Source organism: Homo sapiens, chromosome 6 (assembly GCF_000001405.40).
Source record: "Homo sapiens chromosome 6, GRCh38.p14 Primary Assembly".
In the NCBI taxonomy this organism is placed as follows: domain Eukaryota; kingdom Metazoa; phylum Chordata; class Mammalia; order Primates; family Hominidae; genus Homo; species Homo sapiens.
The window spans coordinates 169,321,025-169,346,101 of NC_000006.12; the positions used below are offsets into that span (position 1 = coordinate 169,321,025).

The window sequence follows — 25,077 nt, forward strand, 5'->3', positions numbered from 1 at the left end:
CTGTCTCTTTGAAACATGTAAAACCAAGCTGCAGCCCGAACACCTTGGCCACATGTTCCCAGGACCTCCTGGGGCTGTGTCATGGGTCATGGTCCCCATATTTGGCTCAGAATAAATCTCCTTAAGTATTTTACAGAGTTCAACTCTTTTCATTGACACATTCTTGCTTTCAAGTAATAAAAATCCACTCCAAACTAGCTTAAGAAAAAAGACCAATTTGTAAGATGTGTTACCTAAATAAACCCCAGGGCCAAGCCCATTTTCTGCATGGAATTGCAGTTTATGAAGGCCAGTCTAACAACAAAAAGTATTAAAGAGGCACCTTAATTATTTTATTTAAAATTTTTCTCCCCTGACACTGAGGGGCCCCTTTCCTCCTGCTGCCATCCCTTGAGGAACACACAGGTTTCTGAGGGATACAAAGCCCCTTCCTTCTCTCCCCAGCCCTCTCTCTCCTCTCTTTGCTGTAGTTAGCCTTTTCTTCTTTCTAGCTTCTTTTCCATTCTAAACATTGCCTTGATTTTACAACCCCAAAAGCCTGGGAACTAGGCTTTCTCACTCTTCTGGATTTCAGGCTCCCTCGGATCCGGCTGTTGCCACAGCTGTGCAGCAGAGGCAGGGGCTGCCCTCAGCATGGGCACGCACGGCCCTTCAGCTATGGGAGTGTCAGCTGCAGATGGCTCAGCTGAATCCCGCCCAGAAGCTGCCCTTGGCAGAGGGAGCGCCCTCACCCAAGATTCTGCCCCTCCCAGCACTTCCTTTTTTAGTGACTGGGCCCTGCAGGGGCGCAAGGCCTCCCTCAGTGCCCCCTCCCTTTCTGAAAGACACCTCTCAGGCACCTGCATGGGATCAGCTATTATCTTGTCAATAAAAAAGAGTCAAACTCTGTACAACACTAGAAGAGATTTATTCTGAGCCAAATGTGAGGACCAGGATGCACGACACAGCCCCAGGAGGTCCTGAGAACACATGCCCACGGTCGTTGGGTAACAGCTTGATTTTATATGTTTTAGGGGAATAGAAGTTACAGGCACGGACATCAGTCAACACATGTAAGGTGTACATTGGTTTGGCTCAGAAAAGCAGACAACCCAGAGCAGGGGCTTCCAGGTCACAGGTGGATTCAAAGATTTCCTAATTGGCCGCTGGTTAAAAGGGCTAAGCTCTGCCTGAAGAGTTGAAGTTAGCAGAAAGAAATGTTTATAGTTCAGATAAGGGGGACTGTGGAAGCCAAGGTTCTTGTATGTAGATGAAGCCTTCAGATACAGTCTTCAGAGAGAATACAGGACAGATGCTCTCATGAGACCCTAGAAGGTGCCAGACTCTTAGCTAAATCTCCCCTGGATCAGGAAAAGACCTGGAAAGGGAAGGGGATTCTCTGCAGAATGTAGGCTTTCCCCACAAGAGACAGTTTTCAGGCCGTTTCAAAGCATGTCAAAGAAATATATTTGGGGGTAAAAGACTTTTATTTCTTTCATTCAGGGCCTGTCATGTCAACATCTGTCATGGTGGTATCTTATTGCTACTAAGAGTCTGTTTGGTCCATCTGAAGGTCTCTGTTTTTATGTTAATGCTGGTCTGCTGAGCCCAAATTCTAAAGACAGGAGAGTTTAATGAGGCATGTATAACCCTGCTTCCCATCATGACCTGAAGTCCTTTTACAAGTTAACTTTGCAATGCCCTTGTCTGAGAGAAGGGGTCCATTCAGTTGGTTGTGGGCTCAGGATTTTACCATTGGTTTACAATATTTCTGTGACTTCATCTCCATTCAATTCTGCCTCTGCTTAATCCCAGTCCTCTGCCTTCTCACAGATGTGGTTCCCAAGGGCACCCCCAATAAAACTTCTCTGTGCATATCTACGTCTCAGAGCCTGTTTTGTGGTGACAAAACCAAAACAGTCGATACCAGGTATGGTACAAAACAGCTGACCTTAAAATGAGATTCTGTGAACTGAATTATTTACTGGTTGACTGTCCATCAAGACCCCAAGACAGTTAGTAGGAGATGAACCCATAGCCCCTGTCCTACGAAAGCCACGTCCATAAACAGAACATTGCAATGCCCAACAGAAATGCAGTTCAGGTGGGAGGGAAGGCAATGATGGGACAATCCCTCAGGTGTTTGGGAAGTTTGAAGTCAGTCGTTATAATTACTTAAAAGCAACATGGATCAGAGAGTTAGATGCTGTGGGTATGGAAAAGACAATGCAAGGCTAAGGGTGGCTGTCTTACTCTCTTTGGGCTGCTATCATGAAATACCAGAAGTTGGGTGGCTTATCAACAGCCAGTGTTTATTTCCCACAATTCTTTGCTGGGGGCAGTGCATGCTGCCTGGGGCCTTCGGGAGTCACTCCTGGGGTGGGAGAAGAGCAGGACACAGACCCCTCCAGGTGGGGCAGTAGTGGGCAGCGGGAGCCCGCCTGGAGTGGGTGAAGAGCAAGGTGCAGAACCTCCAGGTGGGGCAGCACTTGGCGGGGGAACCCTACCTTTGAAATCATTCTGAACCCCGCCCCCCAACCAGGCCCTAGTCCTTACCCCTTCATCATGTAATGGACTGCAGGTCCTGCCTGGATGGCCTGGGAATCCCCCACTATCATGACGAATGGCACCTTGCTTTCAATGAGAGGGCTATTTCACACTCATCTCCTTATGAAAGTGTGGCATGGCCCCACCCTTGTTTTCTTCCAAACTGGCAACCAGATTTCTCATTTTTTTCTAGTATGAATAGGCTGAAAATCTTTCAACTTTTTAAGTTCTGCTCCACTGTTAATTAACATTCTATCTTTAAATCATTTCTCTCTTCTTAAATTTTACTATAAGCAGTCAGGAAGAACCAGACCACTCTCTGTCAACACTTTGCCCAGAGATTTCCTCACCTAACTATCCTATTTCATCGCTCACAAGTTCTACCTTTCACAAAACATGAGGTCATACCCACAGTTCACTAAGTTCTTTGCTGCTTTGTAACAAGGATGGCCTTTTCTTTCATTGTCCAATAACATGTTTCTCATTTATACCTCAGATCTCATCAGAATGACCTTTCTCACTCATATGTCTACCTGCATTCTGTTCACAACCACTTAGGTGTTCTCTAAGAAGATCAAAGCTTTCTCTGCAACTCTCCTCTTTCCTCCTCTGAGCCATCACCAGAACCACCGTGCACGGCAATGAAGGCTTTTTCCAGCCTGCCACATCAAAACTCTGCAGCCTCTACTCATTACGCAGTTCCAAAGTCATTTCCATATTTTGGCTATTTCTTACATGAGCACCCTGCTCCTGTTACTAATTTTCAGTCTTAGTCTCTTTGGGCTGCTGTAACAAAATACCATAAACTGGGTGGCTTATAAACAACCAACATTTACTTCTCACAGTTCTGGAGGCCGGAAGTCTAAGATTAAGGTGCCAGCAGATTTGGTATCTGATGAGAGTCATGGATTCCTAGCTCATAGGTGATGACTTCTTGCTGTGTTCTTACATGGTGGAAGGGACAAGGGAACTCTCTGGGGTCTCTTTTATAAGGGCACGAATCCCATTCATAAGTGATGCAATCTAGTGACCTAATCACCTCCCAAAGGCCCCAGGTCCTGATGCTATCACCTTGGAAATTAGTATTTTAATACATAGATTTTGGAGGGACACATTCAGATGATAGCAATGATTACCCACTAGTTTAATGCAAAATGTAGATGTTAAAGGTCTATGTTAATACTTCTGCTCTTTGTCCTAATATGGTGTAAAGGGCCCTGGACCCTATGAAAATTCCCAGAAGTATCACACTCATCCGTTATGTTGATGACATTATACTTATTGGAATGAATGAGAAGTGTCCACTTTGCCAGATGTCTGTTAGATACACGTGTTACGGATCTAACTCTGGGATTCATTTAGCCCAGCATGCAGAAACTTGTGAGATGGTGAAGTGAGCCATGGGTTGGAACCAGTTCATGTGGACTGAGCACAGAACTCGGAAGTGTAAGGTGCATACAGAGGAGGCCAGGCTGCCCATCACAGTCTCTGCAGCACCTCTGCCTCCCTTTACCCCTGTGGCCACACTTTGGACCTCTGCCAGTAGGGAGAAAGTTCAACCTGGGTCAGAGTTGGGACATCTCACTGCGACGTGCAGCTGGAAATAGATGGTGTCTGCAGGACAGCCCACTCAGGACTGGCCCCAGACATAGATGGGGGCTGCAAGACAGCTCATTTAGGGGTGGCCCTGGACATAGATGGCGGCTGCAGATCAGCTCACTCAGGACTGGCCCTAAGGAAGACATGGGAGGAGCTTCAAGCCCTGTCCCTGATTATCTGATCCGCCTATGAAACTGCAGTTGACTTAAAGTGAGAAAACATAAATGCATGGATGGCAATTAACGGCCTGGCAGTGTGGTGAAGAGCCAGTAAGGAGAGCGATGACAGGAATTGTTTGGAGAGGAGAGAACGTCTTCTGAGAGGACCAGGAGAAGTGGGTACCTCAGCTATGGGAGTGGGCACCATGGACTATGGAGTGGGCACCATGGACTCCAGTGGGCACCACGGACTCTGTAGTGAGCACCATGGACTGTGGTGTGGACACCATGGGTTGTGAAGTGGACACAGGGACTCACTGTGGAGTGGGCACCATGGATTTTGGAGCGGGCAGCATAGACTGGGGTGGGCATCATCTCCTGTACAGTGGGCACCATGGACTGTGGGGTGGGCACCACGGACTGTAGAGTGGGCACCATGGAGTATGGAGTGGGCACCATGGACTGTGGGGTGGGCACCATGGACTGTAGAGTGGGCACCATGGACTGTAGAGTGGGCACCATGGAGTATGGAGTGGGCACCATGGACTGTGGAGTGGGCACCACGGACTGTGGAGTGGGCACCATGGAGTATGGAGTGGGCACCATGGACTGTGGAGTGGGCACCCTGGTTTGTGAAGTGGGAGTTATGACAGTGAAAATGAAATTTTTTTATGACATATTATTGCTCCTCCTGGAATCTCCCCTACAGATGAGGCAAAAATCAAATCAAGTACACACCATGCCTTGCTCCCCGGTGCTTTCAGCCCCACAGTCTGGCTCAGTGGATGCCTGGAAGTTCCTGGCCCAGCAGGGCGGGTCCCTACTCATCCGGGCATTGCCTGATGAGCGATCCGCCATGGCCAAATGTTTCATCTGTCAGATTCAGGCACCCATGCCGGACCCAACGTGGCAGTGTCCCCGGTCGGGGGTGGATGCAGTGGACCTCTTTCCTCCAGAAGGAGCAGCGATGCCTCGTCCGCAGTTGACGCGTCTCTGAATCCCACCGCAGACCCCCCGCTGGGTCCCCACTGCAACTGCATCCAGTGCCGTATTTCAGCACATGGGCGGTAGCGCGTTTATGCAGCGTTTTCCTACCCCCAGCCCTGCATGCTATGGAGAATTTTGTATTTGCCTACTTAGCTGCTCTTTGGTTTGAGGTCAGGCATGATTTCAAAGACAGCAAATGTCAGATGACACAAACAGTATCCACTCTAACTCCAGCCACATGAGTTAACCTGAGTCTCCTTCTGTGCAATCCCGAATCCGTGGTTGCAGCTCTTGGAGCCCTGGGCTCCCCAGGCGCACCGGCGCCATCTCTAGGTGAGGGACGTGTTATCAGAAATGAAGGGACTGAAGGGCACTAAGGGACTGAAGGGCACCAATACCACCAGCTGTATCTGTTCTCTAAAAAACATCAGTGAATATGTGGTTTTTGAAGACAATATATGAGCCACCTTCTTGTAAGTATTTTCATGGCAGAAGACACGACTAATGACTAAAATACTACTCTGCATAGTTTGAATAGTTAACTTCTTCCAGGCGTCTTCTCAGTTAACTTTTCTCTTGTCAGGGCAGTGGCTCAGTCCTGTAAACACAGCCTTTCTAAATTTAAACCAAGACAATGGCTTTTATCTCATTACAGGCATTTCCCTCTTTTCCCACCTCCACAGGATGGCATAAAGTTTGTTACTGAATAAACATTTCACCCTCTGTAATGTTGTAACATGGAAAATCCATCTGTACGTATCTATAAGAAAGAAAGAAAAATAATTACTCCTTCGACATCCAAGCAAGGGATGAGATAATCCATGCCCTTTCTCTCTACCAAAGGATCTAGTCCATAATTGGAGATTAAGTCAAATTAGTATTTGTTAAATAGACAATCAATGACTTAGATGAATAAATTATGTTTACCAGCCACCCCCTACTAATTCATTCAACATACCCTTAACAATTTGAATTAATAGCCGTAATTCTGAACCCATGGATCAAAAGAAAATAGTAATTTTAAATTTCTACTCAGAGAAATAAACCATAGACACAAAACAAATACAGAGTATAAGTCTATATTATAAGCATTGTAAAACAGCATTTTGCCAGTGTGCATAGTCTCTTCTTAGGAATAGAAAGTAAGAGAATATCATTTCCCAATGATTTTTATAAATAGCATAAAGGCTATTCTTGTGCCTTTTCAGTATGTTTATCCAGCCTGTTACTTTCAGAAGCCTCCATTTGTTAGATAAGATTGTTTAAATAGCTGATAAATCTGATTTTCTAGGTTGTCAACCTCAGGTTATATCCATAAAAGTTGAGCATTATTACATATGTCCTAAGTCTCTGCAGACATTGAAGACCCAGAATAACTTTTCTGGCATTAGATGAAATATTCATAGTGGAATGTTTACATGTTTAATACTTGTAAAATGTTCAACCATAAATATCATTCTCCACAATAACCATAAGATTTAGAAAAGCAAGTGCAGTTTAAAGATCCCAGGGGAATTATAACTAACCATTGATGTTTAATAATGAACATCAAAGCCCAAAACATTATTTATATAACCAACTACCCTGTTTCTCACATGACATGCCTAATAATGTCTTGTTTACTAAATGTTGATTACAGAGATACAGTTTCCTTTTGGTAAGTTTTCAAAAATGTTGCAGGTCAAACAATGGACATGTATGTTCACAGCAGCACCATTCACAGTCAAGAGGTAGAAACAGCTCAAATGCCCCCCAGCAGATGAACGGACAGACAAACTGTGGCATATCCCCACAATGGAATATTATTCAGCTATGAAAAGGAGTGAAGCTCTGACATGTGCTAGAGCATGGATAAAACCTGAAAGCACTGTGCATCCAGGCACAAAGACTTCTATTGCATGATTCCTTGTATATGAAATGTCCAGAACAGGCAAATCCACAGACAGAAAGTAGATCAGTGGTTTTGGGGGGCTGGGAGTGACTGCTTAATGGATATGGGATTTCCCTTTGGGGTGATGAAAATATTTCAGAACTAGACAGTGGCAATGGTTGCACAACATTGTAAATGTACTAAAAGCCACTGAACTGTTCACTTTAACATTGTGAATTGTATGTGATGTGAATTTCCTCTCAATAAAAAAGCAGGAAAAAAAGGTAGAGGCCTTGAATTAAAAAGGCAAAAAATAGTTATTTAAAATTCCAAGGGAAAAAGTAATGTAGTAGCAAGATGGAGAGCCTGCTCTGCACAGAGTGAGGGAGCTTCCGCCCAAGCACGAGCACCGGCTCTGCCTGGCCAGCCGCTCATCAGTGAGTCAGCCTCCACAGCCCCTTCTCCTGGAAAACAAGAGCAACATCAATCTTGTCTTGTTTTGTTCAGTGCACTGCTGTGAGTATGAAACCATACGAAAACACAGACATGTGTGCCTTTAAACTCTATAAACAAACAAACTGAGCTACATAGAAATGCAAAGATGTGGACATCCAGACATGACCTTTTGAGGGTCACCATTTACAAGGGAAAAATGTATGTACTACTGAGGATGCGGCTGGCACTCTGCATTCAGTAATGTTTCCAGGGAAGAAAGTGGTATCAGGTGGGATTATAATTGATATAAAACATTGCAATAATTACTCTTTCCAGCATTCTTCTCTGAAAACAATATAACTTCAATGTATTTGTGATGGCTAATGAATCACTATTTATGATGGTTTGCGGATAACATTATTGACTCAAAACTGTATCATCTTCAGATATTTTGAGAAATGTTCTGTGGTTGTCAAATGTAATAAGTCCAAAATCTCAGGGTGTAAAACACTTGAAGCATTTATTTTCTGTTTCTATTTCTATTCCATTTACATGTATAATAATGTCAAGCATTTATATGTATTTTAAAAAATTTAGGGAGTACAGCTGCAGTTTTGTTACATGGATATATTGTACAGTAGCGAAGTTTGGTATTTTATTGTATCCATCACCCGAATAATGTACGTTGCACCCATTGGATAATTTCTCATCCCTCACTCCCTCCCATCCTTCTACGTCTCCAATGTCTATCATCCCACATTCTCACATTTACACATTATTTACCTCCCACTTATAAATGAGAACACTCAGTATTTTACTTTCTGTTTCTGTGTTATTTCACTTAAGATAATGGCCTCCAGTTCCATCCATGTTGCTGCTTAAGACATAATGTTATTCTTTTTTATGACCAAATAGTATTCCATTGCATATATGGAATTTTATCACATTGTAATGTGATACAATTGTGTGTGTGGATATACATCACATTTTCTTTATCCAATCATCTGTTGATAGACACATAGGTTCATTCCGTATCTTTGCTATTGTGAATAGTGCTGCAAAAAATTTACAAGTGCCGGTATCATTTTGATACAATAATTTATTTTCCTTTGGGTAAATAGATACCCAGTGGTGGAACTGCTGGCATCAGTGCTTGGTCTATCATTAGTTCTTTGAGAAATCTCCATACTGTTTTCCATAGAGGTTGTACTCATTTCCATTTCCACCAATAATGTGTGAGTTCCCTTTTCTCCACCTCCTTGCCAGCATCTGTTGTTTTTTGTCTTTATAATAATAGCCATTCTGACGGATGTAAGATGGTATCTCATTGAGGTTTTAATTTGCATTTCTCTGGTGAGTAGTGATTTGAGCATTTTTTCATGTTTGCTGGCCTTTTGTATGTCTTCTTTTGAAAAATATCTTGTCAAGTCCTTTGCCCAGTTTTTACTGGAGTTAGTTTTTGTTGTTGTTGCTGTTGAGTTGTTTCAGTTCCTAGTAAATTCTAGATATTCGTCCCCTGTTGGGTGCATAGTTTGCAAATATTTTCTCCCATTCTGCAGGTTGTCTGTACACTCTGTTAATTGTTTCTTTTGATGTGCAGAAGAGTTTTAGTTTAATTAAGTCCCATTTGTCTATTTTTGTTTTTGTTGCATTTACTTTTGAGGTCTTTGTCATGAATTGTTTGCCTAGACCAATGTCCAGAAAAGTTTCCTCTAGGGTTTCTTCTAGTATTTTAATAGTTTCAGGTCTTAAGATTCAAATCTTTAATCCATCTTGAGTTGATTTTTGATATGGGGAGAGATAGGGATGCAGTTAAATTCTTCTGCTCATGACAATCCGATTTTCCCAGCACTATTTATCGAAAAGGGAGTCCTTTCCTCAGTGCATATTTTTGTTGACTTTGTCAAAGATCAGTTGGCTGTAGATATGCTGCGTTATCTCTGGGTTCTCTATTCTGTTCCACTGATCTATGTGCCTGTTTTCATACTAATACCATGCTGTTTGGGTTACAATAGCCTTATAGTATGACTTGAGATCAGGTAGCGAGATGCCTTCAGCATTTTTCTTAGGACTGCCTTAGTTATTCGGGCTCTTTTTTTGTTACATGTGAATTTTAGGATTGTTTTTCTTAATTCTGTGAAAACGATGTTGTTGTTTTGGTAGGGATTGCATCAAATCTGTGGACTGCTTTGGGCAATGTGGCCATTTTCACAGTGTTGATTCCCAGGGGAGCAGTCCTCTTATGAGAACAGGTGGGGCAAGGTGTTTTTCTGGAGTCCTTGGAACGCACTAGGGCACGGGTGAAATGGATTCTATAAAACTTCTGTTTGTTTGAAGAAGTAGACTGCAGACACAGGAAGCATGAAGCCCCAGCGGTGAGGAAGACACTGCCCCTGCCATTATCCCCAGAAGGTGCCTGCATTTAATAAAGACAGTGAGAGACTGAGGGAATTATGTACTGGGCTCATTTTAAAGCTACTAGACCACTGATATGAACAGTAAAGCAATGAGTGCAGGTCTGTTGATGATGAGGATGCTGGTGACGATAGTGAATGTGATCACGGCTGCTTAAAACACTCTGTCTAGGTAGGCAGAACACTCTCTGAGAACAGGCTCTTCCACAAGTCTCCTCAGTTTAAATACACCAGAGAGGGTTTGGGGCTGGGAGAGTAAAGTCACTGTATTATTTTGGACAAGTCCTTTCACCTCTCAGAAAGGAGAGAAATAACATTACTTAGCATGCTGGAAAGAGAATTAAATGAGACAGTTTGTGTAATTTCACAGAGACTTCTGTGGCACTATTCTAAATTCTTTACAAATAGTAACTCATTTCAATCCCTTAACCACCGACAGGCTGCTGCTCTTATTCTCCTTACTTTACGGGTGAGCAAATTGAAGAAGAGAAGTAAACAGAATTGCCCACAGTCACACAGCAAGTAAGAAGTCAGGCTCAGATTTGAACCCAAGCAGTTAGGTTCTGAGTCTGTCCTATTATACATATAATATTGTATAGACAAATAAAATGCACTTTAAAATTAAATTGTCTACAAATGATGGCTATGACTATAATTAATCCCAAATCTACTTTGAAAAAGAGGGAAAAGATGCCAAATTTGGGTGGTCTCCTTAAGTCACGTCCTGGAAGAAACATAGACATCACACACAGAGCCATATAGGCAGGAAGTAAAAATATCAACAACATATTTGACTCAATTCTCTATGCATATGGTTACTATAGTTTGTTTTTCTGAATACACATAAATATTGCATTTACTGGTGTCTGTTTAGGCTATCTGTGAATAACTTGGACTTTTGTCTTTATCTCTGGTTTTATATGTAGCTTTCATCGTCTAGTTTGATCACAAATATCAAAGTACATGAGGCCAAATCAGAGTATAATTTCTTACAAGAGACAAATAGTGTGTATAGACGGCACCTGAATTCCACAATGTCATAATTCCAAATAGAAACCATGTGCACGGAACAAGAAGAGTAGATGGTATCACATTCCCTCTTCCCTCTTTTCACGGCACTGCAGGGCAGCAGGGCAGAGCTCTCAGGGGAAGTCAGAACACGGCCCTGGCAGTGATTTGACCTCAGCACACAGCTGTGTGCACGGTCTGGGGGCACCTGGGCTCCTTTCAGCAGCTGCCTGCACACAACCTGCAGACATAAGATGATGCAGGAGGACTGGATATTAGGAAGCTGAAAGGCATTTAAACTGTGTTCTGAATACTACACATATAGACGGAGATGGGAAAGGGCCACTCTGCCTTGTTCATGAGGGTAGATGAGTATTCCGTGTGTCTGCGGACTGGTGACATTTGAAAGCATGCCATCAATAAGCCACCGGCCACGGCTGGATTTCCGCAGGGGTTAGTGGATCTCCCAGCTCCAGGCTACACCAAGGCAAAAACGTGGGCCCCAACCCCCAAGGTTATCTCATGGTCCTTGGAAGGTTCTGGTGAGAAGGAGGGAGATAAAAGGAATGCTCGATGACTCTGGAGAGAGACGGGTGTGACTGGACTCCATCACCATTCGTAGCATGATCTTTTGGACATAAACCTACTTTATGATACTAAAAAAGAATTAGAAATAAAATGTTGCTTTAATCAAGGAGTTCTAGCACTATATAATTCCTTTGAGTATAAGGAAGAGGTTTATACATCACAGAAACACATGAACTTGTACTCACCCAAAATTCTTCAATGACACAAAAGAATTACTCCAAATTTTACTGGAAAAATAGAATTCTACCGAATGTTTACTAAATCCCCAAAGATGATTTTTTAAAAACATTTGCTGCATAAATCATGATAAAAGAAAAACTAGCATGTGCTCCCAATCTTATTTGAATATTTCTTCCATTGGAGCACACAGTGTTGGTTTAAAAGATACACATCATGTGGAATCAATCTCATAATTCACTTGGAATCTTCTCTCAAATGGAATATCACAATCATTGAATAGTTTAATGTGAAGAAAAGTGAGTAGAATACTATGAAATACAAGAATATTTCATTAGAAGGAAATCATCTTGAAATCCCTTGAAGACGAGCCAGTTACTTGGGTAGAAAGGCTGTTTCCACGGTGTGCCACCCAGTCCCCGGCCTTCAGAGCCAACTCCATGCCCCTGTTTTCTACCCACCAGCAGCTCACACAGGAGGCACCGCCAGCCAAAGCAGCCTCCTGAGATCTCCGCTTGCTTTTGCTCAACCAAATCTGCCTCCAATTCTGTCAATATCCATCTCTGTTGAGTTGGTTTAGGGAGAGCTCTGAGTTCACTTTTGGCTGTGTGTGTGTGTGTGTTTCCTCAATGCTGGAACTTGCTTTCTGGTATGGGTCCCTGCTCTTGCTCCCAGAGCTCTTCATGACCTCCTGAAGAAGCCAAGCTCTGCCCCTGTGGAAACCACGTCCATCACTGCCCACTTGTGTCCTGCCCATATGAGGTCTGGCCGCCATAAGGGGCAGGGCAGGATTTCTGTATTTCACCAGAATCTGCAGTTGGTCCCTGGAATCTCATCAAATACCTATGAGTTGGATGAATTCCTTTCCTCGTGAGGTTTCAAGATAACTTGGGGTTCCCGGCCTGTCAGAAAGTGACATTCTTTACTTACCACAGATCACAACCCCTGTGCAGGGACTGTGTACACAGAATAAGAGGACAGTTTCCAAGGGCTTTGTTGGCTTTATAAGTCAAGTTTGATTCCTAAAAGGAGAGCACAACATTCCAGCCAATGCCTTGGCAAAATAATCAGTTTTTCCTATTGTGTCCTGTTACAAATGAAAACAGATTCTTATTGTATTTATGCAAATAACTATATATAAACAGTTCCAAATTCTGGAGAAATCAGGTAGAGAGAAACAAATATGCCCCAAATTTTGTTCATAAGAATATACTTGTTAAAAGCCATTAATAGCTCAAAAGTTTCCTTGACTCTGAAAAAGCAAAACAAAGGATTAGCAACATTGCTTAACATTTTAAGCAAAAGTCAAAAAGATCATTTCAGTCTTCTATCAGTTCAGTTCATGCAGTTCATTCCTGTCCTACTTGATATTAGTAAATATTTTAGCTCTTCAAGAGTCGTGAACGTTTTTCTTCTATGCTAATGTCACAATCTTCAAAGTTATCAGAAACCTGCATTCAAGAGCACCTGGGAGAGCTTTCCAGCTAATTATAAAACCACCTTCTAAAGAGGACCAAAACAAGACAATCGTTTATGGATGACATTCAGGAGCACCTGGGAGAGCTTTCCAGCTAATTATAAAACCACCTTCTAAAGAGGACCAAAACAAGACAATTGTTTACGGATGACATTCAAGAGCACCTGTGAGAGCTTTCCAGCTAAGTATAAAACCACCTTCTAAAGAGGACCAAAACAAGACAATCGTTTACGGATGACAAAAGTTTTAGGGTAGGCATAGTTAAAAACACAATTGACAAGGAAATCTGTTACTTCTGTGGCACACAATAATTTAACATAACAATTATTACTGATAATGTCCACTAAGATACATCAGAAATATAGGAGTCTCCCATAACTTTGAAACAAATACCAAAACATATTTATACAAATATAGCCCAAAGACAGCCAAACACCATTTCATATCTAACAATACTTCCTGTGTAATGTTTATACCAAATAGGTCAAATTTCCCCTTTACATTAGTTACACCCAATTCTTAATAAAACCTTATAAACATATTTACCCAATTTTAATGTTTGACCATAAGGTAAGATTTTTATAGAACTTTTCTAACCCTTTACAGTTTTTGTTAAAGAGCAGGTTAGTGCTCTAAGAGAAACCCATTGTGTTTTTATTTTAATGCTCAATTTACAGAAAAACTGGATGATACTCCTTTAACTTTAGCCAATGTGTTTACACACAGAATTTCCCTTACAATCAACCTTCCACACCTTGCTTAAACCTTCATCTTTATTTTATCTAACTTAAAACAACACTTTAAATCTAGGCAAAAAATCCACATCCTCATGCCTCCTTATAATCTTTTTACCAAAAATATATTTTACTTTCCTTACACACGTTGCACGTAAACTGACATAAAGAATGTTGCTATTTCTTCAACAGCTTTAAATACATGTTACTCTGTTAACTCTTAGGAACCTTCACTTTTGGTGAAAACCTTGGTAAGGTTGGGATTTGAATGAAGAACTAGGTGTGAAGCCTAGGACCTAGACAGAAGTGCAGAAAAAGTCTGACTTATTCCAGCATCTAACTCCATGTGTCCCAGGCCATATCTAGCTGTAAAGCAGGCAGTTGTGCGGCTAAGAGTCATAGTGGCATTTTATACAGCATTTAGGAGGCCTAATCACCTTTAAATTGTATATTTCTTGCATAAATTCGCTTTCATAAATTCTTTCATGACTACACAGACAAGCTACGACACGCCTTGACTTTCTGACTTGTCCTAAACATCCCTCTTTTTAAACAACCAGTCATTTTACTTTTAGGAAAGAATTTACCATACAAGATCCTTTCTTATATAAAATCTCTTTTCTTTATACCTTTTTGCATAGCTAAGGGCATGGTTAATTTCATGTGTCCCCAGGCCTTATCTAGAATTTAGCACTCCAAAATAAATTGAACAATTTGTAAGTCAAAGAAACAGTTTATGACCAAAAACATTTAGCAAACCTAATATTTGACCTGCATAATTTAGTCCAAATGTTTACATTTTTTAGGAGATTTTCATGTTACCAATAATCTTTAAAACTCTCTTTATACTTTCTTTATAGCTCTCTTGTTTTCTGGTTTCTTTTACCTTGTTTTGTATATAACCTTTAAATAAGCTTTGGATTAGACAAAAATTAATTACCCTGAAAAAAGGACACAATATTTAGAAAGAATGTTTTCCTACAATATATTTTCATTGGAAAATAGCCAAATAATGAAATGTCTGTTATTAAATTTAATATAGCTTTAGATTCTAAATTATGACAGGTTTGTTTATGAGTATTTATCCAATTACATTCATCTAATTATTTATTTTAATCATTTACCTAGATGATTTATGAAAGCTGCGATAGTTATCATTTACAGTTATAAAACCACCATTGCAAAATTATAACTGAGACAGTGAGAATGACATGACCTAACCTACTCCATCTTGCTTCTAAACTCCAAGCTATTTTTATTAACTTCTTAGTTATACTTTAGCTTTGAAACAAAGGTGGTAACAGTCCTTTCCCAGAACAAACTTCCTTCATGCTTATGGACTAGATTGCCTAAGGCCACAAGATCCGAAGTTAAAATATTTCACTAAATAATTCAAGATGTAGCTATTTCAATTAAACTAATATTAATGTTTTACTTACTAAAAATTACATAAGCAAAGATTATTCTGTTTTGGGCTGGTTATAGTTTTGTAGCCTGTATGCCAAATTTTGACACCTTATAGTATGTGGCAGAGACAAGTTGGAAATCACTTGATCAATAAATGCAAACAAGTATGCTGGCAATTCTTAAGATATTTCTAATATTACTTTACCAATAATTTTTAAAATTTTTAAAGCTAGCTTATTTATTAAAGATTTACTTAAGTCACATAAACTTAAAAAAGCATTTGACTACTCTTTCCTTTTTTCTGTTAAAGTATGCAAGCACTTTTATTTTTTCTTTGAGCCAATTAATAAGAACTCTTTTATGTATTTTCAGTAGTGAAACATGGTATACATGAGACATAAATACATAGCCGTGTTAGGCATGCCAACAGAAATACATTTTATAGATTCATAAGACCTCCTTTTTTCTATCTTAGACTTGCAAACTCTTGATAACCTGGTTTATTACTCTGGCAGTTGTCAACTAAATAGCCCTAAATCTGCATATTAAAGGAAACAACTCTTAGGTGAAAAAGCAAACAGCAAAATTTTACATCTCAAGGTGCACAGAGAAAAAGTCTGGGTGGTGTTAGAGGGAGATTAAAGAGGAAGGCCAGATCAAACGTAAAAGTATAGAAATTTTATCATAGGACTGTATAAGGAGACTAACTTTACTTAGATATTGACTAAATATCTTTTAACTGGATCTTTGAGCTCTCAGCAGAGCCTACAATGAATCCTGGGTTTTCAAAAAGGGAGAATTATTATGAGGCTAGAACATGTGATGCTTTTACGGTGCACTTAATTTTTTTTTTCTTTGAGATGGAGTCTTGCTCTGTCACCCAGGCTGGAGTGCAATGGTATGATCTCGGCTCTCTGCAAACTCTGCCTCCCAGGTTCAAGCAATTCTCCTGCCTCAGCCTCCCAAGTAGCTGGGATTACAGGCGCCTACCACCACACCCAGTTAAATTTTGTATTTTTAGTAGAGATGGGGTTTCACCAGGTTGGCCAGGCTGGTCTTAAACTCCTGGCCTCATGTGATCCACCCGCCTCAGCCGCCCAAAGTGTGGAGATTACAAGCCTGAGCCACCATGCCCAGCCCCAAACAAAGACATTTGTAAGTGTCTAAATTACACTTTTTCTTAAAAACTGCAGAGTAGCTTCCGTTGTTACAGCTATTAACAAAGAAAACAGAATTTGGTAAACTGAGAAGAAAAACTTTTGCTCAAAATGACAAGGTCCTAGGAGAGAAATAAAAACAAAAACATGAAGACCTTTTAAATGCAAACATGCATACATGCACATATGCATACACACATCTTGGATGTGAGCCTTCCTTTAAGCTGACTTTTCACCATTGAGCTCCTAAAAAAATATATGTTTTTCTTCTCAGAGGACTTTCAGCAGAAATGGACCCAATACCTCCCATTTTTAAGTTTACATGATATCAAAAGGAATAAGGCAGATATGCAAACAAGTGGAGACAAATTTTGGACAACACGAGAGGGCATGCAGTCGGCAAAACAGACTCAAAGCGAACTCAAATCTGATCTCAACCAAAATGCAAAGCTGGTGTATGAGCAAGCCCCATTGCTTCCCTTGGCAGTGCTGGACAAGTGGTTTCACAAACCCAGATGGGAAAACAATGGGCTCCTGGCATATGATCCAGTTAACTCACCCTTGGAGAGCATCTGCTCCTGATCTCCGTTCTTCCCCAGTAGTGAAAGGGACATGAAATGTTGCACACCAGACAGTCCTCCGGAGGGTCCCCGGGAAAATCTCACCAGTAGCTGCTGAGATCCTCCTGAAGAGTGTCTCGTCGCAAGCCGCTGACCACAGCACCATCCTGGTCTCTCCTGGCTGGCTTGCCAAACTTTGTTCCTGGACCAAACTGAGGGTCGGGCTGCTATTTCTTGTGGCCCAATAACCACATGCAGATGAACTGGGGAGGAAGAGAGTTTTTATTTCAGTAACCAGTTACAGGGAGAAGGCCGGGAAATTATCGCCAGACCAACTCAAAATTACAAAGTTTCCCAGCACTTAAATACCTTCTAAGCTATATGTCTACGTATAAATGTGCATTCATCTAAAGACGTAAGTGATTAACTTCTTTTAATCTAAAACTAATGTCTGAGTCCTGAAGACCTTCTCTGGAGCCAGTAAATTTACTTAATCTAAATGGTTCAGGTGCTGGAGTGATTACCCTTATCTTCTCCCCTGCTAAATCATGGAGGTTTGAGGAGTTCCTTCAGCCCCCAGTACGCTTGTTTGTGGAGGCCTGGGGAGTTTCTTCAGACCCCCAATAAAAGTTGTTTAATCCCAAATCTGTCCTGTTAAGAATTCCTTCATTATCTTGTCATGCTTTAAGGCCCAGGAAAGGCCTGGCCAAAACTCTTTATCGGCTTCTGTAACATCACAGCCTTTGTATAAGGGCACTGGCTTTTTCAGCTTTTAATATTTATCTTAACCACTCAGTCTGTAATGAAACAATTGTGATGGAGGTGTGCATTCATGAGACCTGGCCTGCCACAGCTAGAGGGGACGGGCAAAAGATATATTTTAGACTAGAATATAGAGCACACGCAATAATCCATTTTTTTAATCAAAAGAGCATGCCTTGTAAACTGAGAAAGGGGGGCTCCAGGTGAAACTGGGGGAGCTCAGCACTGCAGCCACATGCAGTGAACCCCGAGATTCCAGAACACCCAGAAATGTAGTTCTGTGGGTGCCATGCAAACGTTCACTGTGATAAAAACAACCTGCCGTTAGATCTGGCAGCAACTCCAGGCTGTGTGACCTCGGACACCGGCTCTGAAGCCGCGGAGCCGTGCAGGACGCCCAGTGCCTCCCAGTTCCTACCTTAGTGATATGAGCACTCAGGGAGCATAAATTTCAGAGGTTCCTTCTTAAGTCAGAAAGGAAATCACATCTGAAATTCAAAAACAGCAGTGCCTTAAGATTGTCTTAGCCTCCATGGAAAAGGTTAATGAGGAAATTAGTCAATTAAAATTTGTAGTAAAGAAAACCAAAAATGTATCTCTATTCTCTTTTAAACGGCTAAAATTCAAATGGATAGTAACCCATTGACCAGTTAAAGTTAGCCTTACTCTTGGAGATTCAATAAACTCAAGAAATCACCACTATGAGCTTTCTTTTTCAAATTTAACATGTGTTTCTTATCTAGGTAACCAGAGAAATATTTAAATGTTTTCAGAACTAGCTGCCTTACGGAAAATAAATGTGTACTTTGCCTTGTAGGACGTAGTTGATTCAGTAAGGAGGTAAGAGTTTGCAAGAACAAGTCCTGTTGTCAGCTACGAAGTGGCATCTGCCTCTTCCTGCCCCGGCCTTTCAAAAAGTTCCCTCTGGCCACGTTACACTCATTAAAACAGAATATAAAGATAACGCATGGAAATAAATGAAATACTGATAATGTTTAACTTACTGATAACGGGTATCTTACAATAATTACCATTTATGGTTCTCATAGTTTCCCTTCCAAGAGTTTCAGGAGATAACTGTGAGCTCTGTGTCACTTTCACAACAAGCTGTTTTTCCATCGTCAGCACCTGTGCCCTTCTGAGACCACGCACAAGGGTCAGACCTGGTGCTGGAGACAAAGTAGGCGGGACGGCCCTGGTGACTCTCTTCCTAACACACATGACAACGGAGTGTCGGCTCTGCAGGGAACATGACACACCCAAGGGTCCCCAGGCTTGTCTGAGCAGGAAGCAGAGTGAGCCTTCATGTCTCCAAGATACTGTCACAAAACTCTCCATCCTTGTTCCCAGGCATTGGCCTGACTTTCTTTTCTCATGTCGAGACCCCAGTACTCAATTTTAGTAATTATTTAGTCAGCACTGAGTATTGAATACTGATATTGGAATGGAAATTCTTGCCATTGGGTGAGAGGAAAGTGCCTGGGGCTGGTGGAGGCAGCCCCTCCAGTCGGGTGTGCCCAGGGTGGCTGGCTCTGCCCTCCCTGCTGCTTCGAGGCCTCCAGCCCAGGCAGAGTATCCCTCCTAGGAAAGCTTCTGGAACGCCCAGGAGCAGTCCCCAGGCCCGTAAACGTGTTCTGTTGTCAGCTACCAAGCGGCTTCTGCCTCTTCCTGCCCCTGCCTTGTGCAGCCACTGGCTTGGGCGACGGGCGATGACTCACTTCCCCCGGCAGGCATGCCTCGCCCGGGCACGGAGCTCGCTGGCACAGGGGCTGGCCCCGGGGTGCTTGCCTCTGTCCATGGGCCGAGCCAACAGCGAGCTTCGTGCAGAGGGGAGAATTGCTCACGTGGGGTCAGAGCTGAGCTCACTGCAGGGTCTGCGGGGCTCCCCGGATTCCTGGTGAACCAGCTTTCTCTCCAATGCAGGGTCTGCGGGGCTCCCCGGATTCCTGGTGAACCAGCTTTCTCTCCAATGCAGGGTCTGCGGGGCTCCCCGGATTCCTGGTGAACCAGCTTTCTCTCCAGTGCAGGGTCTGCGGGGCTCCCCGGATTCCTGGTGAACCAGCTTTCTCTCCAATGCAGGGTCTGTGGGGCTCCCCGGATTCCTGGTGAACCAGCTTTCTCTCCACTGCAGGGTCTTCACAGGAGCCCAGGAAAAGCTGGTGTCAGAGAAAGACCCCAGGCAATCAGAGCCACACCCTTCCCAGAGGTGCCAGGATCCTCCTACACCCAGGTTGTGCTAGGGCCAGTTCTCCTAACAAGAAGAGAAAGCCTCGGACCCCAAAGACAGCCTTTGTGCAGGACGGAACCACCCACCCAGGTCGGCCCATTGCAGAAGGAGGCAGCCAGAGCCCAGTGAGGAGGGGAGGCCACCAGGCCAGGGAGCAAGCGTCTCCCAGAGGTGTCGCTTTCCCTCAAGATCCAATTATCCATGACATTTCAGGAAGGTATATCCATCACCTAGGAGGTTCCTCTGGGCGACCACTGGCTACCTTCGGCCACAAACCTTTCTGGTTAAAAACATGAGGAAGTTTAAAAAATGCATGACACTTTTCAACTTTTAAAATTGCTAACTATGAAGTTCTAATGTTTGGAGACCTTTATGATGACCCAACTCCACCTAATGAATAGCGAATATGTTTTCTCCTCCCTATGACTTTTTTAATAACCTGTTCTTTACTGTAGCTTAGGTTATTTTGGAATGCAGTATATAATACATATAACAGCAACACGTGTCCATCGTTTATGTCGTCCCGAGGCTTCTGGTCAATAGTAGGCTATGAGTAGTTAATTTTCTTGGGGGTGCAAAGTTACATGAAGATTTTCAAATGTGTGGGGAGTCAGCACCCCAACTCTTGCATTGTTCATGGGTCAGCTGTGTATATTTTAGGCCCCATGAAACAAGGAGCTGTGTGACCAGGGCCCTGAGCAGCCTCCAGACTGGCCATACTGCCCGGCTCCATCTGTGCACCCTCTCCCTGGCCACACTCACCCGACTTAGATGTCCGTCTGAGCCTGCCACCTGTCACACCCACACCAAATTCTGGCATGTGTCCTGCCCAGATGACTTCACCTGCTGCAAAGCTCCTTCAGCGTCAGGTCTCTGCCTCCTTCTATGTCTCATCCTCTTCCCCACTGTTTCTTCTCCACTTCCCATGCAGGTGAGCCCCTAACAATGACCAAGACCCCCGTCCTTAACCCCACTGCTCTTGTCCAAGAGGGAATCACACTGTCTGGTTGATACGTTCTAGGCTGGAGTTCGCCTTAGTCTCCAACCACTTCAGGCCTTTCTCAGTCCAGCCCATTGTCTGTCTGCTCAGTGAACCTTCCTGTTAACTGCCTCTGTCGCTGCAGTTCCTACAAGATCCCGCCGGCCCCAGCTGGGAGGGCTGGACTGGGTGAGATATTTAGTCAGAGGCATCCTGGTAGTAGAGGAATCTGAGCAGTGTTTAAGGAAGAAACCCAAAGATCAAGCTTTTGTTCATATGTAGGCTTACTCTTAGCATGGCCACACCACCTCCCTTCCCAGGGCCTGTCCTGGTTCACGCCTGAGATGCTATGGAATTATGAACGGCCACTTGCCACTCTCAGAAGGATCCCAGTCCCCGCTCCCGATGATAAACTATAGAGTCACCCAACTTAAACACCACAATTTACACACACTGCAAACTCATCTATTTTCCCAGGGCTGTTAATACTGACATAAACTGGACTCACTCAGCCTTGGGGACACTGGAGGGTTTACACTCCCACAGAGGAAGAGCCTGTGGTGGACGCTGGAAGCCCTTCGATTACACAGAAAGAAGGAAGGTGCTTGCAAACACATATATTTTACTATTGACTTAGGTATCAGTTTGCATTGCTATAGAAGCTTACATCAGCTTCTATTAAAACTAGGTTCTGGGTTCCTGGTTCTGACTCATATGATTTTGGGAAGAGTGTTGGAACTCTGTGCCAGCCTGTTCCTAGGGAAAGGAGCCAGGACTAAGGAGCTGGGCAGAGATGGTGAACCGAATCGTGCCCTCATTGTTCAGAGAACAAAAGACTGAAGACTCCCAGAGGCATAAAACAGCTTCCATGTCTCACTCACGTGGTACAGCTGTAAGGGTGGGGCAGAAGGTTATATGCATATGGCTATTTTTTTTTTTTTTTGGAGACAGGGTCTTGCCCTGTTGCCCAGACTCCAGTGTAGTGGTGCAATCTCAGCTCACTGCAGCCTCAACCTTCTGGGCTCAAGCAATCCCCCTGCCTCAGCCTTCTGAGTAGGTGGGACCACAGGCATGCACCACCATGCCTGGCTAATTTTTTGTAGAGACAAGGTTTAGCTATGTTGCCCAGGCTGGTCTCGAACTCCTGGGCTCAACCAATCATCCCCCTCAGCCTCTCAAAGTGCTGGGATTACAGACATAAGCCTCTGCACGGGCCTCATAAGGTCATGTTTAGAAAAGATCATTGTTACCCACAATCTCAGGATCAGCCAAGTTGCATAACTCCACAGCTGCCATTCACATTTCATTCTTGGATTAGGTGGGTTCACTGTGCTAGATACCACAGGTCAAAAAAGATTGTCTGGGCAATGGTCTAGAAAGTGTGAAAGGAAATTAAATCTTGGGACCCCAAACTCATTAAGCCAAAGGGAAAAATTAAGCTGAGAACTGGGTGCTGCAAACCTGCCTCCTCTTTTTGGTTCCTAATTGATGAAAAGCTACATGCCTCTCCCATATTTTGCCCACAAGGAAATTCCTAGTATGCTCCAAGATCTTTAATCTAAGGTGTTTCTGTGACGATTTCACCACGGCAATGTAAATTGACAGCTTCTCTTTATAGCTGCACTCACCCCCGGCCCACCAGACATAAATGCATATCTGATTGTTCCCCTGCCCCATTTTGTCTGTGATCTTCTGTAAAATGCAGATTCCCTAGGTTTTTCCTCTGCTCCATCTGTCTACGTTGTCTTATGTTAAAAAAAAAAAAATGCAGATTCACTGAGCCAGACAAAGGCATGATTATTTTTCCCTATCCCACATCTTCCATGAAAATTGTGACTATCTCACCCTTTCCCCTTTAAATTTGGAGCCCTCAGAATCGTCTTTGGAGAAAGGCATAGATCTGTCTCCTGGGCGCGCATTCTTAACTTGGCAAATACACCTCCTAAAATGATTGAGACTTGTCTCGTCATGTTTCTTGATTGACAGAAGCTAACACAGAGAACATTTTTAGATGAGAAACCCAATAAATTTTAAGAAGTTTGCAGAGTGCATTGTAACACGTGCCCTTGGAATCAACCCTATGATCTTCTCTCGCTCTCTCTTTCTCTCAGTAAAGGAATACACGGTTCTTATTGTATATACATTATTGTAATAAAAACAAAGTCACACCTGCCTAAGGAACGAGGTGCCACATCCTCAGTCGGAGCCTCTGGGCAGGGCAGGAGGCAGGAGGTGCTCGAGGGAAGTCTCACCTGCCTCTGCCTGAATCCAGTTGCTTCAGAGGCTGAGCACACCGTGAGCCAACTTCCACTTCATTCGTCAGGAAACCTATTAAAATGTTCACCTGGGGGTGAAGGTTCCTTGTGGTTCATATTCATTTTTAATCCATTTGTTATTTTTGAGATGAAATTTCTCCTGGGTTGAGAAATGATTTCAGTTTAGGGGAAGTATTGGCTGTGTCACTGTTTTCCACTCATATTCTTATTAAGAAATATATTGGCTTTAAAATATTAAACTTTGACTGACTTTATTCTTTTGCTACTTTGGTCCTTGGAGACAGCCACAGAGCAAACTGTATTCTACTCTTTTGGATTCCCTTATTGTCACCATGTCAGGCTTACTTAGGCAGTAGATGCATGATGCGAGGTGTCCCCAGGTGGCAGGGCAGGGAGGTCCCTCAGAGACAACCCACTCCCTGACCCTGATCCCATTCCTGACACCCGGGCAGCGGCACCAGGCTGTGGCTGCAGCAGCACGATCTCACCAAGGGAGGATCTGTTTGTTTTCCAGGTCTGGACTTCATTCTTCGCTCAGCTGGTTGTTATTACGGCCTTTGCAGTAGCAGCGAGAGATTAACCACAGCCAAGTCTCTAAATTTTGACACAGATTCAACCCAAATTCAATCTTCCACGTTCATAAGGAGGTGAGAAGAATGGAAGGAGAAGATGCAATTTCCATATTGCTCATAATTTTATGACTTTATGCTATCATTTCGGGATAGGCAGCACTTTTTTAAAAGTCCACAGGGTAAAGCGTGCTTAATTAAAGTAATGTCAGTGAATCTTAGAGGTGACATTTGTTTTTCCTGTTCATTTTCATGATGCAAAAGAAATGAAAGGGAGTTGGTGCTTAGCAAGTTAACAAAGAATTACAGAAAGTAGAGCCCCCAGGGTGAAAATAACTGGAGGTTGTCTCAGACAGCTGTGTTAAAGCCAGTCCCAGGTCCAGTGTGGGAGTCACGACCGGGTCACTTCATACTTCAGGTTTAAAATATATGAGGCAGTGAAAAAGAAAGGCTGCACTTTTGTACCCACTGCAAGTCAGGAAGGCTTGGCAGTTTTCCAAAGGAACGTCGGGTAGTGGTTCCTGGAAACTGGAGTGACTTCTGCAAATGATGAACACTTAAATAACTGCTGGAAACATACAGGGAGGTGCAGGCTCCTTCTCAGAAGCTGCTGGTTATATCAATGTTTATGCCCCTTCCCTCTGCATGCTCTGTGTATCTATAACACTCAATAACATGAATGCACCACATCATATTTAACTGTTCCATTTTCTTAGCCACTGTAGGCTATGCCACTTTCTGTTGTCATAAGCAACTCTGTAATGATCAATACTGTATAAATGTTTGCCAACTTTACCATATGTCTCAAAAATAGCTTCCATTCCTGCCCTGGTAGCCGACTGTTTCATGAACCACCCTCTCACTGAAAATAGCTAAAATCGTGAGTGCAATTTGACAATTTTCTTTAAATGCATTGCTGAGCTAGCAAGTAAGTAAGAAGTCCTCGGTGGTAAAGAAATAGGGGGTACACAAGAATCTAGTGAGGCAAAAGGAACCTGAGACTGGGCTTGGCCTGGGGAACCTGATAAGCCCCAACCTCTTGTAACGGCCGCTCAGGTGAGGGGGTCTCTGAGGACAAGAGACCACTGCATAAGTTAGGAGCCTCAAGGACCACAATCTCCTCAAAGTGAGCCTCAGAACCCTGTAGGGAGCATTCATCAATGGCCT

The 25,077-nt window shown here is 43.0% G+C and overlaps 1 protein-coding gene across 2 annotated transcripts; it reads right to left on the reverse strand.

The window, feature by feature from the left end:
• Positions 1-8,076: 8,076 nt before the first annotated feature.
• LOC105378148 (uncharacterized) lies at positions 8,077-23,489 on the reverse strand. Of its 2 annotated transcripts, XM_017011621.2 has the most exons (4): positions 23,235-23,489; positions 18,891-20,015; positions 17,097-17,360; positions 8,077-9,991 (listed from the first exon to the last, which is right to left on the reverse strand). In XM_017011621.2, the coding sequence occupies exons 2-4, from the start codon at positions 19,195-19,197 to the stop codon at positions 9,975-9,977; spliced, it is 588 nt and encodes a 195-aa protein (XP_016867110.1). In that variant the 5' UTR covers positions 19,198-20,015; positions 23,235-23,489; the 3' UTR covers positions 8,077-9,974. The 2 variants fall into 2 exon arrangements, with proteins under 2 accessions (XP_016867110.1, XP_016867109.1); XM_017011620.2 differs by lacking the exons at positions 8,077-9,991; positions 23,235-23,489 and having other exon boundaries at positions 16,378-17,360; positions 18,891-19,519.
• Positions 23,490-25,077: the final 1,588 nt, after the last annotated feature.

Coding starts and splice junctions, on each gene's coding strand:
- LOC105378148 (XM_017011620.2), bottom strand. CDS start 19,197: ATGGAGAGTTTTGTGACAGTATCTTGGAGACATGAAGGCTCACTCTGC. Junction 17,361..18,890: donor AACTATGAGAACCATAAATG/GTAATTATTGTA, acceptor CTTCCTCCCCAG/TTCATCTGCATGTGGTTATT.